The sequence below is a fragment of the Homo sapiens genome, chromosome 6 (genome assembly GCF_000001405.40).
Source record: "Homo sapiens chromosome 6, GRCh38.p14 Primary Assembly".
NCBI classification, from domain to species: domain Eukaryota; kingdom Metazoa; phylum Chordata; class Mammalia; order Primates; family Hominidae; genus Homo; species Homo sapiens.
In genome coordinates this window covers 145867853-145882398 of record NC_000006.12, presented here as the reverse complement: position 1 = coordinate 145882398, position 14546 = coordinate 145867853, and the positions used below count along the sequence as shown (strand labels likewise).

Genomic DNA, 14546 nt, shown 5'->3' with positions numbered 1-14546 from the left:
ATGTTAATGTTTATATTCTGCAACTGACCATTTTCTACCCTGCACTCAGATTTGCCTTCCCAGATTTTCTGCCAGCATGATAGGGTGCAAATAAATACTTTACACCTCTGTAAGAGGCACTTCTGTCTTTTTCATAAGTTGTTAATGATGACTCAAGCAGTCATCTCGTTTATGCAGTGATTTATTTTTAAGGGATTACTATTTACGCATACAGGAGAAGATTTAGCAAGTTTCCTTCTTAAAATGGCTTTGGCCTTTCAAGCAAGATAAAGATCTCTACTGAGTAAACCACCTTTTTTTTTTTTTTGAGACACAGTCTCTGTTACCCAGGGTGAAGTGTAGTGGTGCCATGACCGCTCACTGCAGCCTCAACTTCTCAGGCTGAGGTGATCTCCTCACCTCAACCTCCCAGGTAGCTGGTACTACAGACATGCACCACCACACCTGGTTAATTTTTTGTAGAGACAGCGTTTCGCTATGTTGCCCAGGCTGGTCTCGAACTCCTGGGTTCAAGCGATCCACCTGCCTCGGCCTCCCAACGTGCTGGGATTACAGTAAACCACCTTTTAATTCTCTCTTTTTTTCCCTTCCTTTCTTCCATTATTCCTTACTTCCTTTTTTTCAATCTTATTTCCTCCTTGGTTTTGAAACTGTATGTGTAGGTATTGGAAAAAGCAGTTTATCCACCATCATTACATAAAAAGGACGCTTATCAGACCAAGCATTCCTAACTGGAGTCAGTGGACTTACGAAAGGAAAAAAGGTCCACAGGTGAGCTTCAAAGGGCAAACTCCCAAGATGTGTACCTTCCAGCAGCTTCCTAGAGACAGAGTTTCATATTGTCAGATTCTTAAAGGGATTCAAGGCCTAAAAGGACCCATTGCCATAGACCATCAGTTTCCAAGTGTGGTCCTTAGGGATCTCCAAGACCAAGGAGTCTGAAGGGCCCTAGGATTTTCTTCATATGTGTCAACAAAAACAACATGCTCAACACAAGTCTCTTGCCTGCCACCATGTAAGACATGCCTTTGCTCCTCCTTCACCTTCAACCCTAATTGTGAGGCCTCCCCAGCCATGAGGAACTGTAAGTTAATTCAACCTCTTTTTCATTATAAATTACCCAGTCTTGGGGATTTCTTCATAAGAGTATGAAAATGGACTAATACAAACAACAACAAAGAATTTAAATAATGAAATATATTCCATAGCCTGTTTTTATTTAAAAACTAAAAATCTATGTTTTAATAACAGCAAAAAGATTCTGTCCCATTAGTAAGTAAAAACACAATCTTTTACATTGTTTTACTCCAACTATAATTTATGCGTGCTTTAAAATAGAAATAGCTAATAACCTATTTACATTTTAAATAAATGTGCACTGGATATATAGTTGCACAAACCTTTTACTGGTGAGATATGTAATTAAATAAGTTTGGAGATCACTGGAAGAGAAGTAATTGTTGCTCTTACGAATGTGAGAAGCTTTTATTCTAGTTAAGTTTTTATCACTCGAAACTCTTTTAGGATGCTTGAAATTGCTTTCAAAGCCAATTAAGAAATTATACAATTTCTTCATAACCTCACATCATTTTGTTTTATTAACCAAAAAAGTATATTTTCTATTTTATATACATTAACTTATTATATTTTGTAATGTATATATTTTATATAGTTTCTAATTTATACTCATTACGTGCCAGGCTTGCTTTGCATGTGTACCCTTCCTGAAAAGTTTTTTTCTTTCCTTTTCAACTTTTTTTTTTTTTCTTTGAGACAAGATCTCACTGTGTTACCCACGTTGGAGTGCATTGGCATGATCATGACTCACTGCAGCCTCAACCTCCCAGGGTCTGGTGATCTTCCCACCTCAATCTCCCAGGTATCTGGAACTGCAGGCACATGCCACCACACTAGGATGATTTTTGTAGTTTTTGTAGAGACAGGGTTTCTCCATGTTGCCCAAGCTGGTCTCAAACTCCTGGGCTCAAGTGATCCTCCTGCCTCAGCCTCCCAAAGTGCTAAGATTACAGGCATGAGCCACTGCACTCAGCCTGTATTTTTAATCTTAAAATTGGCAGTTATGGGTCAAGAATTTTGCAGAGGAAATGTAGACCTATGTTAATATTAAATAATGAATTTATTCCATGTTTCAATTTTTTCAGTCAAAAAGTAGATAAAGCACCTAATTTAGGCTTAATAATAATTTATTATCTCATGAAGTTTCTAGAATGTTTGGAGATACACCTGGTAACATGAGGGAAAAAGTCAACAGTAAATGTTCTGTTTTCAGAAACCTAAACATTGAGAAAATTAATATTGTCAACAAATGTTAGTACTTAGTCTTGTGTCTTGCAATATTTTCATGTTTGTTTTCTCCCTCATTGGGTAGAGAAGGCGTGAAGAATTTCATCATTATATCAAGATGGTGGGGGGAAGCTAGTCACCATTTCTTTTTTTCTTTTTTCCTTTTTTTTTTTTTTTTTTTTTTGAGATTGAGTTTCACTCGTTACCCAGGCTGGAGTGCAATGGTGCGATCTTGGCTCACCACAACCTCCTACTCCCGGGTTCCAGCAATTCTCCTGCCTCAGCCTCCCGAGTAGCTGGCATTACAAGGCACCCACCACCATGCCCAGATAATGTTTGTATTTTTAGTAAACACGGGGTTTCACCATGTTGGCCAGGCTGGTCTCGAACTCCTGACCTCAGGAGATCCACCTGCCTTGGCCTCCCAAAGTGCTGGGATTACAGGCATGAGCCACCACACCCGGCTGCTAGTCACCTTTTCTACTGAATACAGAAGAGGCGCCTATAGGATCGGTTTTGATTATCCATGAGAAAAGAGAGTTTTAGAATGCAGAATAAACTATCAAAGGAGATAGTGAAATCCTTTCTGAAAAATTTTAAGAAAAGGAAAGAATTTTTTTAAGTGCAGATAAACTTCAAGAGTTTAAGTCCTATATTTAAATAACTATGGTATTTTCTGTTTTAGGTTTGTTTTTCTTTCTCCCAAAATATATGGTGTTAAGTTCCAGAATATCTTCAGCCAACTAAGAAATACAAGGAGGAATGGGGGGTGTTATTTTCTTTTTTTTTAAAGTTAGTAAACAGAGAAAAAGCAACTATTTCTTTTTTAAAATGTATCAAAGAATTTAATGACTTCAGTACAAGAGGCAGTGGGTGTTCAGTAAATAGTAATTTAACTGGTTAGAATAAATAAAAATATGATAACTATGGCTCACAACAGAGCAGAGTCATGTAGTTACTAAAACATTTGCACAAATACTGTCCACCAAAGGGACCCAGCTCATAAGCACTGAGAAATGACTAATATTTCTCATGTAACTGTATTATTCCCATCTGTTTCATATTTAAATTTAGAGGAAGTTTTAATAGTACCAAATTCATATAAATCTTTTGAAGTCCATGAACAGTAAGAAGTGCTATTTGATTCTTATTCCTTGATTTTGATATCAGTAATTGTTATACACACTGATTAGCTTTTATCTCCAAATTTTATTTAATACTGCCTAATGCTGGTTGTTTCTTTTGGAGTCCTATAAATCTGGCTGCCAAGAAAAATGATGGCTCTGCTCCGAAACCACAAAGTGGCTGTATTAACATTTAGTGAATCTCAAGTAGAAAGGAACAGTGAAATTCCTGAGGAAGCCATTCTCCAGAATAATAAAGTATTAGCGTTTTTCTCATAGTAGACAAAAGTCATGGGTTTTCCTCCTTGGCAGGGAGCAAACTCAACCTTAAAAAGTGATAGTCAACAACAGAAAGACAAATAACCCAATTTAAAACTGGGCAAAGGATTTGAATAGACATTTCTCCAAAGAAGATAATATGTAAGTGACCAATAAGCACATGAAAAGATGATCAACAGCTTTAGCAGCTGGGAAAGTAGATATCAAAACCGAAATATGAAGGTTTGGAGAGGAGGAAGGAATGAATAAACAAAACGGGATTTTTAGGACAGTGAGCCTTCTGTATGCTACTACACGGGTGGATATATGTCATTACACATTTGCTGGACCCATAGAATGTACAACACCAAAAATGGACCCTAATATAAACTGTGGACTTTGGATAATGATGTGTCATAATTTGAAACAAATGTACAACTGTGATGTGGGATATTGATAGTAGGAAAGGTTGTGCATGGGGTTGGGGGGAGGCAGGGGTATATGAGAACTCTGTGTACTTTCTGCTCAATTTTGCTGTGAACCTAAAACTTTCGTAGAAAATAGTCTATTAGAAAACAATGAGCTATCACTTTACACCACATGACTTGTAGATGAAAAGAGTCAAACTCTGTAAAATATTTGAAGAGATTTATTCTGAGTCAAATATGAACAACCTTGGCCCGTGACACAGCCCTCAGGTGGTCCTGAGAACATGTGCCCAAGGTGGTCGGGGTGCAGCTTGGTTTTATATATTTTAGAGAGGCATAAAACATCAATCAAATACATTTAAGAAATACATTGGTTTGGTTCAGAAAGGTGAGACAACTCAAAGTGGGGCCTTCCAGGCTATAGGTAAATTTAAACATTTTCGGGTGGACAGTTGGTTGAATTTGTCTAAAGACTTGGGATCAATAGAAAGGAATGTTCAGGTTAAGATAAAGGATTGTGGAGAACCAGTTTTATTGTTCAGAAGAATCTCTCAGATGGCAGACTTCAGAGAGAGGGTAGGTTGTAAAATGTTTCTTATCAAATCTAAAAGGATGCCTAGCTCTTAGTTGATTATCCACTGGATCTGCAAAGAAAGGAAAGAAAATAAAAGGGGAAGGAGATTTTCTATGGAATGTGGATTTTTCCCACAAGAGACTTTGCAGGGCAATTTCGAGGCATGGCAAGGAAATATATTATGGGGCTAAATATTATTTCCTTGTCTCATAATGTCACGCCAGAGTCAGATTGAAAAGCAAGTCACAATATACATGGTCAAATAAAAGCCATCTGATGAGGATCCATGGTTTGTAGGACATGACTCCCCAGACCTCTTAGGTAGGAATTTGGGCAAGATAAAAATCAGAGCTTAGTCCCTGAACTATAGTCAAAAGATAGACAATAACAAGTTTTGTTAAGGATACAGAAAATTGGAACCCTCAAACATTGCTGGTAGGAATGTAAAATGGTACAGCTGCTTTGGAAAACCATTTATCCGTGTCTTAAATAGTTAAATGTACACCTAGCAGCTATGCCACTCCTATGTACTTAAGAGAAAATAAAACATATATTCATACAAAAACTCATATGAACAGTCTGGCAGGTACCTGGAGTGTTAAATGGAGTTACCACATGACCCAACATTTCTACTCCTAGGTATTTACCTGTAATAGTCTGCTAGAGCTGCCATAACAAAATACCACAGACTGAGTAAATTAAACAACAGAAATTTATTTATTACAGTTTTGGAGCCTGGCAGTTGAAGATTACAGTGCTGGCAGGTCTGTTTTCTTCTAAGATCTCTCTCCTTTCTTGCAGATGGTTGTTTTCTGTATCCTCACATGGTGTTTCCCTGTGCGGACAGGCCCCTGATGGCTTTTTATAAGGACACTATTCATACGGGATTAGAGCCCCCATCCTAGCAGCTTTACTTTAGCATAACCACCTCTATACACACCTTATCTTTAAATACAGTTACATCCTGAGATACTAGGGGTTGGGACTTCAAATTATGAATTTGGTGGAGCCACAGTTCAGCCTATAATAATAATGGAGAGAAATGAAAACATGTGTTCACAGAAAAACTTGTATGTGAATATTTATAGCAGCATTATTTATAGTAGGCAAATGTGGAAACAACCCAAATGCCTATCAAACGATAAATGGATAAATCAAATATGGTTATACTTCTAATGGAATATGATTTGGACAAAAAAGAAATGAAATACTTATACATGCTACAACATGGATGAACCTTAAAAACATTATGCTAAGTGAAAAAAAGCAGTCCCAAAATACTGTATATTTCTGTTTATAAGAAATGTCTAGAATAGGCAAATCTTTATTTTTTTTAGAGGATGGGTTCTCACTCTGTCACCCAGATGGGAGTGCAGTAGCAGTATCATAATTCACTGCAGCCTGAAACTCCTGGGCTTAAATGATCCTCCTGCCTTGGCCTCCTCAAGTAGCTGGGACTACAGGTGTACACCGCCACTCCTCATAAGAACAGGCAAATCTTTAGAGACAGAAATTACATTAGTGGTTGCCCAGGACTAGGAGAGGAACTGGAGTGACTGCTAATGGGCATGGGGTTTCTTTATGGAGTAATGAAAGTGTTCTAAATTTAGACTGTAGTGATAGTTGCACAACTTTGTGAATCTACTAAAAACCACTGACTTGTACACTTTAAATGGCTGAATTTCATGGTGTGTGAATTGTATCTCGAAGATATTTTTGAAACATTTTTAAAGTAGCACAAAAGCTTATTTTAAAAAATATCATTTGGCATGCAAAACTTCGGCAGAGCCAATTGTAGATGAAAATGAGACAGATGGCCTTCAAAATATGAAGCACACATTGTAAAGAATGTTGTACTCCAGGCCTGTGAATCTCACTGATATCTGGCAGCCACAGTTAAAATGTTGTAGCATCTGGAATTGCGGGCTGTAATTGAAACTCAACTGAAGAGCTTTCTGTGGAGCTGGAATGACCAGCCAATGCATAAAGTTGTTAAACATGAAACAAAGATAACTATTATCTTTTAAAAACCTCTCATTAACCCTCATGACGTTCTTGGGTGAAGGTCTAATCTGGCACACTTGCTAACTTCTAATAAAGAATCAAATGGTCTTCCAACTCACATAATGACTAATTCTAAAGCATGCAACCTCAAAGTACTACATTCTCCCTGTTCTAGAAATACAACCCTAGAGGGCCAGTCTTCCTTCAGCATTCAAATATTGAGTAGAACAACTGAACTGTAAGGTTCAACTAAAGGAATGCAACTGTGACTTGAGCTGTGGAACGGCTATGGCCTAAGTCAAGAATTCTCAACCTCAGCACTAGTGATTGACATTTTGGGCCAGGCAATTCTTTCTTCTGGGGCCTGTCCTATGCATTATAAGATTGAGCAGCATCCCTGGCCTCTACCCATTAGATGCCAGAAACATACTCCACCCCCAAGCTTTGACAACCAAAAATGTTTCCAGAAATTTCCAATATCTCCTGGGGCTTAAATCAAGAACCACTGGCATAAGCCAAGGAAGAACTAACCATTTACCATGGTACAGGATGAGTATCCCATATCTTGGGACCAGAAGTGTTTTGGATTTCAGATTTTTTAATATTTGCATTATGTGCTTACTGGTTGAGCATCTGAAATCCAAAATGCATTTCCCTTGAGACTTATATCAGTGCTCAAAAGGTTTCAGTTTTGAAGCATTTCAAATTTGGGATTTTGGGATTTGGGATGCTAATCTGCAATAACATAGACCATGTACCAAAAGAAAAAAATCGATATGTTTAATTTGTACTTCATTTATTCAAGCTCTGTGGAGTTTAAATATTCAGAATATTATGCAAAAACCAGTTTCCTTGATCATACTAAGTTTTGATGACCATAATCATTGACAAGTTTATTCAGGAGATTTTCATATGTTGCTCTAAAGTTTAAACCCAATGCTGAAATGCCAGCTTGGAGCCACATAAGGAATGAGCTGTTTGTATTCTATTAAAAGACTGCCCTTGAAAATTTACAGATGAAAAAACTTCAAGGGGATAAAAATGTGATTTTAAAATCAATTTTGCCACCTAGTAAAGGATTTGCTAAATGGATAACTATGAGGTGATGGATGTGTTAATTATCTTGATTTTGGTAATCATTTCAGAATGTATATGTATATCAAAACATTACATTATACACCTTAAATATGTACAATTTTTGTATGTCAATTATACCTTAATAAAGCTCAGAATAAAAAAAAATGCTGTCATTAACAGAGAGTTTGCAAATACACTCAAAGTCTTTATCATTAAGGACACGGACACCAGGCAGCATGATGGAACTCACTTTCATTGTTCTTCCAGCCTATCAACTGAATCACATAAGAATGAAAGATGAAGTAAAGTTTTGATACGGTGTACTTCAAGGTTTTTAAATGTGAATTTATTGCATTCTGAAACTATGGTGTAGATGACATCTGCCCACACATTATTATTATTATTATTATTATTATTATTTTATTATTTTTGAGATGGAGTTTCACTCTTGTTGCCCAGACTGGAGTGCAATGGCACGATCTCGGCTCACTGCAACCTCCTCTTCCTGAATTCAAGTGATTCTCCTGCCTCAGCCTCCCAAGTAGCTGGGATTACAGGCTTGCTCCACCATGCGCCGCTAATTTTGTATTTTTAATAGAGACGGGGTTTCCCCATGTTGGCCAGGCTGGTCTTGAACTCCTGACCTCAGGTGATCCACCTGCCTCAGACTCCCAAAGTGCTGGGATTACAGGCGTGAGCCACTGTGCCCAGCCTGCCCACACATTTTGATGTCATAATACTAACATAATATCACTTTGTGATATTAATTTTGTGACACTGAAAAGTCTTCACCTGTCTCAAGAGGACCCTAAGTAGACCTCATGCCTCTGGCTTCTAGAGGCTGGGACTACATAGTTTCTAACTTTTCGTTCTTTTTCTTCATCCTCTCCCTCCCTCCCTCCCTCCCTCCCTCCCTTCCTTCCTTCCTTCCTTCCTCTAGCAACTGTTACTGAGACACTAAAACTGACATCATCATTGACACTTAGCAATTACAGTATGCTGCTGGGAAGCATGGGCATGCTGGTTTCTTCTCATAGCAGGAATGGGAGGCTTACCAGGAACCCTCCTCAGAATTTATGTCCATGATTTTGGCTACAGATGACCATTAAAGCAGTATAAGGTCATAACCAGTAAAGTCTTCTCCTGTAACTTTCAGAAAATAAAGTGAACTTATTAACTGGAAGTTGTGTCAATTGATAGTGTAAGAATAAACAGACTGGCTATTTTCTATAATCTTGGTAAATGGCATTCATCCTTTTTTCTTGTTCAAGGCAAAAACTCTAGAGTCATCCTAGTACCTTTTTCTTCTCTCATCCTTCACATCTAATCCACCAGCCAATCAAGCCCACCCTCAAAATGCATCTAGACTCTGACCACTTTTCATCATCTCCACAGCTACCACCTAGTCCCTGACATAATCACTCTTTTTTTTTTATTTCCAACTTTTATTTTAAGTTCAGGGATACATGTGCAGGATATGCAGGTTTGTTACATAGGTAAATGTGTGCCATGGTGGTTTGCTACACAGATCATCCTATCACCCAGGTATTAAGCCCATTATCCAATAGTTATTCTTCCTGATCCTCTCCCTACTCTCCAACACACCCTAGTGTGTGTTGTTCCCCGCCATGTGTCCATGTATTCTCATCATTTTGCTCCCACTTGTAAGTGAGAACATGCAGTATTTGGTTTTCTGTTCCTGTGTAAGTTTGCTAAGGATGATGGCCTCCAGCTCCATCCATGTCCCTGCGAAGCACATGACCTGATTCCTTTTTATGCCTGCATAGTATTCCATGTTGTATATGTACATTTTCTTTATCCAATCTATCACTGATAGGCATTTAGGTTGATTCTATGTCTGCTATTGTGAATAGTGCTGCAATAAACATATATGTGCATGTGTCTTTATAAGAAAATGATTTATATTCCTTTGAGTATATAACCAGTAATGAGATTGCTGGGTAGAATGGTATTTCTGCCTCTTTGTCTTTGAAGAATCACCAGACTGTTTTCCACAATGGTTGAACTAATTTACACTCCCACCAACAGTATTAAAGTGTTCCTTTTTCTTCACATCCTCATCAGCATCTGTCATTTTTTGACTTTTTAATAATCACCATCCTGAATGATGTAAGATGGTATCTCATTTGGTTTTGATTTGCATTTATCTAATAATTAGTGATGTGAAGGCTTTTTTCATGTTTGTTAGCCACATGTATGTCTTCTTTTGAGAAGTGTCTGTTCATGTCCTTTGCCCACTTTTTAATGGGGTTGCTTTTTTTTGTAAATTTGTTTAAGTTCCTTATAGATTCTGGATATTAGGGCTTTGTCAGATACATAGATTGCAACAATTTTCGCCCGTTCTGTAGGTTGTCTGTTTACTCTGTTAATAGTTCCTTTTGCTGTGCAGAAGCTCTTTAGTTTAATTAGACCCATTTGCTAATTTTTGCTTTTGTTGCAATTGCTTTTAGTGTTTTCATCATGAAATCTTTGCCAATGCCTATATCCTAAATGGTATTGCCCAGGTTTTCTTCTAGTGTTTTTATAGTTTGGGGTTTTACATGTAAGTCTTTAATCCATCTTGAGTTGATTTTTGTGTAAGGCGTAAGGAAGGTGCCAGTTTCAATATCCTGCATATGGCTAGCTAGTTCTCCCAGCACCATTTATTAAATAGGGAATCCTTTCTCCATTGCTTGTTTTTGTCAGGTTTGTCAAAGATGAGACAGTTGTAGGTGTGCAGTCTTATTTCTGTATTCTCTATTCTTTTCCATTGGTCTATGTCTCTGTTTTTGTACCAGTACCGTGCTATTTTGGTTACTGTAGCCCTATCGTATAGTTTGAAGTCAGCTAGCCTGATGCCTCCACCTTTGTTCTTTTTGCTAAGGATTGCTTTCAGTATTCAGGCTCTTTTTTGGTTCCATATAAATTTCAAAATAGTTTTTTCTAATTATGTGAAGAATGTCAGTGGTAATTTAATGGGAATAACATTGAATTTATAAGTTGCTTTGGGCAGTATGACCATTTACATAATATTGATTCTTCCTATCCATGAGCATGGAACGTTTTTCCATTTGTTTGCATCATCTCTGATTTCTTTGAGCAGTGCTTTGTAGTTCTCCTTGAAGAGGTCCTTCACTTCCCTTGTTAGCTGTATTCCTAGGTATTTTGTTCTTTTTGTAGCAATTGTGAATCAAAGCTCATTCATGATTTGGCTCTTGGCTTGCCTGTTGTTGGTGTATAGCAATTTTTGCACTTTGATTTTTTATCCTGAGACTTTGCTGAAGTTGCTTATCAGCTTAAGAAGCTTTTGGGTTGAGACAATGGGTTTTCTAGATATAGGATTATGTCACCTGCAAAAAAAGATAGTTTGACTTCCTCTTTTCCCATTTAAATACTCTTCATTTTTTTCTCTTGCCCGATTGCCGTGGCCATAACTTCCAATACTATATTGAATAGGGGTTGGGAGAGAGGGCAAACTTGTCTTGTGCTGGTTTTCAAGGGGAATGCTTTCAGCTTTTGCCCATTCAGTAAGGACACTGGCTGTGAGTTTGTCATAAATGGCTCTTATTATTTTGAGGTATGTTCCTTCAATACCTAGTTTATTGAGAGTTTTTAACATGAAGGAATGAGGATTTTTATCGAAGGCCTTTTCTGCATCTATTTAGATAATCTTGTGGTTTTTGTACATCGAATGAAGAGCCTAAGAAGAAAAATCACATGAACATATCAGTAGGTGCAAAAAGAAAGCATTTTACAAAATCCAACACCCATTCTTAATAAACACTCTTAGTAAATTACAAATAAAGAGGAACTTCCTCAACCTGATAAAGGATATCTACAAAAACCCTACAGCTAACATCATATTTAATGGTGAGAAACTTGAAAGTTTCCCTCTCAGATCAGGAACAAAGCAAGGATACTCCCTCTTACCAGTCCTTTTCAACATTGTTCTTGAAGTCCTAGCTAATGCTACACAACAAAAGGAAATAAAAGGTATACAGACTGGGAAAAAAGAAATGAAACTGTCTTTGTTCACAGATGACATGATCATGTATGTAGAAAATCTGAGGCCAGGCGCAGTGGCTCAAGCCTGTAATCCCAGCACTTTGGGAGGCTGAGGCGGGTGGATCACAAGGTCAGGAGATCAAGACTATCCTGGCTAACATGGTGAAACCTCATCTCTACTAAAAATACAAAAAAATTAGCTGGGTGTGGTGGTGGGTGCCTGTAGTCCCAGCTACTCAGGAGGCTGAGGCAGGAGAATGGTGTGAACCCGGGAGGCAGAGCTTGCAGTGAGCCAAGATTGCACCACTGCACTCCAGCCTGGGCGACAGAGTGAGACTCCATCTCAAAAAAAAAAAAAAAAAAAATCTGAAACGATTGACAAAAAAACCCTTCTGGAACTAATAAGAGATTATAGAAAGGTTGTAAGAGAAGACTAATATATACAATTCTATTGCTTTTCTATATACCAGCAATGAACAAGTAGAATTTAAAATTAAAAATGTAATACCATTTACTTTAGCACCCCCCAAAAATGAAATACTTAGGTATAAATCTAGCAAAATACATACAATATCTACATGAGAAAAACTACAAAACACTGAAGAAAAAAAATCAAAGAATAACTAAATAAATGAAGAGATAGTCCATGTTTGTGGATAGCAAGGCTCAATATTCTCAAGACCTTAGTTCTTCCCAACCTGATCTATAGGCTCAGCGTAATCCCTAGTAAAATCCCAACACATTATTTTGTGACTATGAACAAACTAATTTTAAAGTTTATATGGAGAGGCAAAAAAAAAAAAAAGAAAAGAAAAACCAAGGTAGCCAAAACAATATTGAAGGAGAAGAACAAAGTCAGAAGACTGATAGTATCTAACTTCAAGACTTACTATAAAGCTATAGTAATCAAGACAGTGTGGTATTTGTAAAGGAAAGGACAACTAGATCAATGGAAGGAATAGAAAACCCATAAATAGACCCACATAAATATAGCCAACTAATCTTTGATAAAACAGCAAAGGCAATAAAATGAAGCAAAGATTGTCTTCTCAAAGAATGGTTCTGGAACAAATGGACATCCACACACAAATCACTGGATCTATACCCTTCACAAAAATTAACTCAAAATGAATCACAGGCTTAAATTTAAAATGCAGAATTATAACACTCCTTGAAAATAACATAGAAGAAAATCTAGATCGCCTTGGGTTTGGCAATGACTTTTTGACTACACTACCCGAGGCACAATCCAAAACAGAATTGATAAGCTATACTTCATTCAAACTAATTTCTGCTCTGCAAATGCCACTGTCAAGTGAATGAAAAGACAAGCTACAGAATGGGAGAAAATATTTTCAAAACGCATATCTGATAAGGAACTGTTATCCAAATACATAAAAATACTTAAAGCTCAACAATAAGAAAATAAACAACTTGATTTAAAATGAGCCAAAGACCTTAACAGGTATCTCAAAAAAGGAAATAGATGGTGAATGCATCGGGGAAATGCAGATTGAAACAAGATATTGATACACACCTACTGGAATGGCCAAAATCTAAAACACTGACAATAATAAACGCTGGTGAGGATGTAAAGCATTCATTGTTAGTGGGAATGCAAAATGGTACAGCCACTTTGGAAGACAGTCTAGCAGTTTCTTATGAAACTAAACATACTCATATCTCATGAAATAAATATGAGAGGCATTATTATTTAAGAATAATAAAGCAAACAATTATAATTCAATATTTTTAACTTTTTCCTAAAAATAACAAATAGTTCATTGTAGATGTTTACATTTGTCCCAAAAATGACATTTCAAGAAATCAGCTATCAGAATGATTGTTTCACAGTAGACTTCTTTGTTATATTGCAACAATTGACGGCTGAGGCTGTACATCCTTCTTCAGCTTCAGATTGAATATACTAAGCAAAAGACTAGAGGGATGAAGTATAAAAAACAGTACTCTTCTAAGAAAGCTAGATTATCTTCTCTTGATTCTTTAATTTTCATTGACTGTCTTCCTGTGTCGTACCTTAACACTGATAACCTCATCTTAGCCGGACTGAAAACAAGTGACCTATTAAAACTTCCTAATAAAAAATAACATTCAACAAAAGTTAATTCTACCCCCAAATACATTTTTTTAGAACTCAGAGCAACTTGGGTTTAAATCCAAGCTTCACAACTTATCAGCTGTGTGATATTAAGCAGAGTTGTGGGCTTTGGTCATTCCTCATGTGTAGAAACAGAGATGATGTTACTTGGCATTATGGGATGAATTGTATCTCCACTTCAAAAAAGTTGTACGTTGAGGTCCTAACCCCCAGGGCCTTAGAATATGACTGTGTTTTGAGACAATGCCTTTAAAGAGGTAATTTAGGTATAATGAGGTCATATTGGTGGACCCTAATCCAATTGGACTGCCACTCTTACAAGAAGAGGAGCTTTGGACACAGACAGGTACAGAGGGAAAACTATGTCAGAACACAGGAAGAAGGCACCATCTATAAGCTAAGGAAAGAGGCCTCAGAAGAAATCAACCCAAAATAAATCAACTTGACCTCAAACTTCTAGCCTCTAGAATTGTGAGAAAAACAATTTCTGTTGTTTAAGCCACCCAGTTTGTGGTACTTTGTTATGGCAGCCCTAGCAAACTAATGCACTTGGCAAAGTTGTTTTGTTTTGTTTTTAGTCTAGAAGAGAGTTTTTGTGGAGGTATCTGTATTTAATTCCTGTGAGTGTTGTAACAAATTTCCATGAACTGAGT

At 37.1% G+C, this 14546-nt stretch overlaps 1 protein-coding gene and 1 long non-coding RNA gene across 12 annotated transcripts in view; one reads left to right on the top strand and one right to left on the bottom strand.

The window, feature by feature from the left end:
* EPM2A-DT (EPM2A divergent transcript) overlaps window positions 1-14546 on the bottom strand; it is a 151717-nt gene that overhangs the window by 4187 nt on the left and 132984 nt on the right. The window contains exon 3 of one of the 3 annotated variants that reach the window (NR_038244.1): window positions 751-820. The exons of the other annotated variants lie outside the window; for them this stretch is intronic. This is a non-coding gene — a long non-coding RNA (EPM2A divergent transcript). The remainder of the gene's footprint in view (window positions 1-750; window positions 821-14546) is intronic. 3 annotated transcript variants of the gene reach the window in all.
* Window positions 1-14546, top strand: part of SHPRH (SNF2 histone linker PHD RING helicase) — a 106521-nt gene that overhangs the window by 81960 nt on the left and 10015 nt on the right. Inside the window, exon 29 of one of the 9 annotated variants that reach the window (XR_942393.4) lies at window positions 663-731. The exons of 5 other annotated variants lie outside the window; for them this stretch is intronic. Coding sequence is in view for 3 of the 4 variants with exons in the window: in XM_017010691.3 (XP_016866180.1) it covers window positions 663-942 (280 nt within the window). In the remaining variant the exon portion in view is untranslated. Of the gene's footprint in view, window positions 1-662; window positions 9003-14546 lie in introns of those variants that run through there. 3 more of the 9 variants (XM_017010693.3, XM_017010691.3, XM_017010692.2) reach the window with 3 other exon arrangements.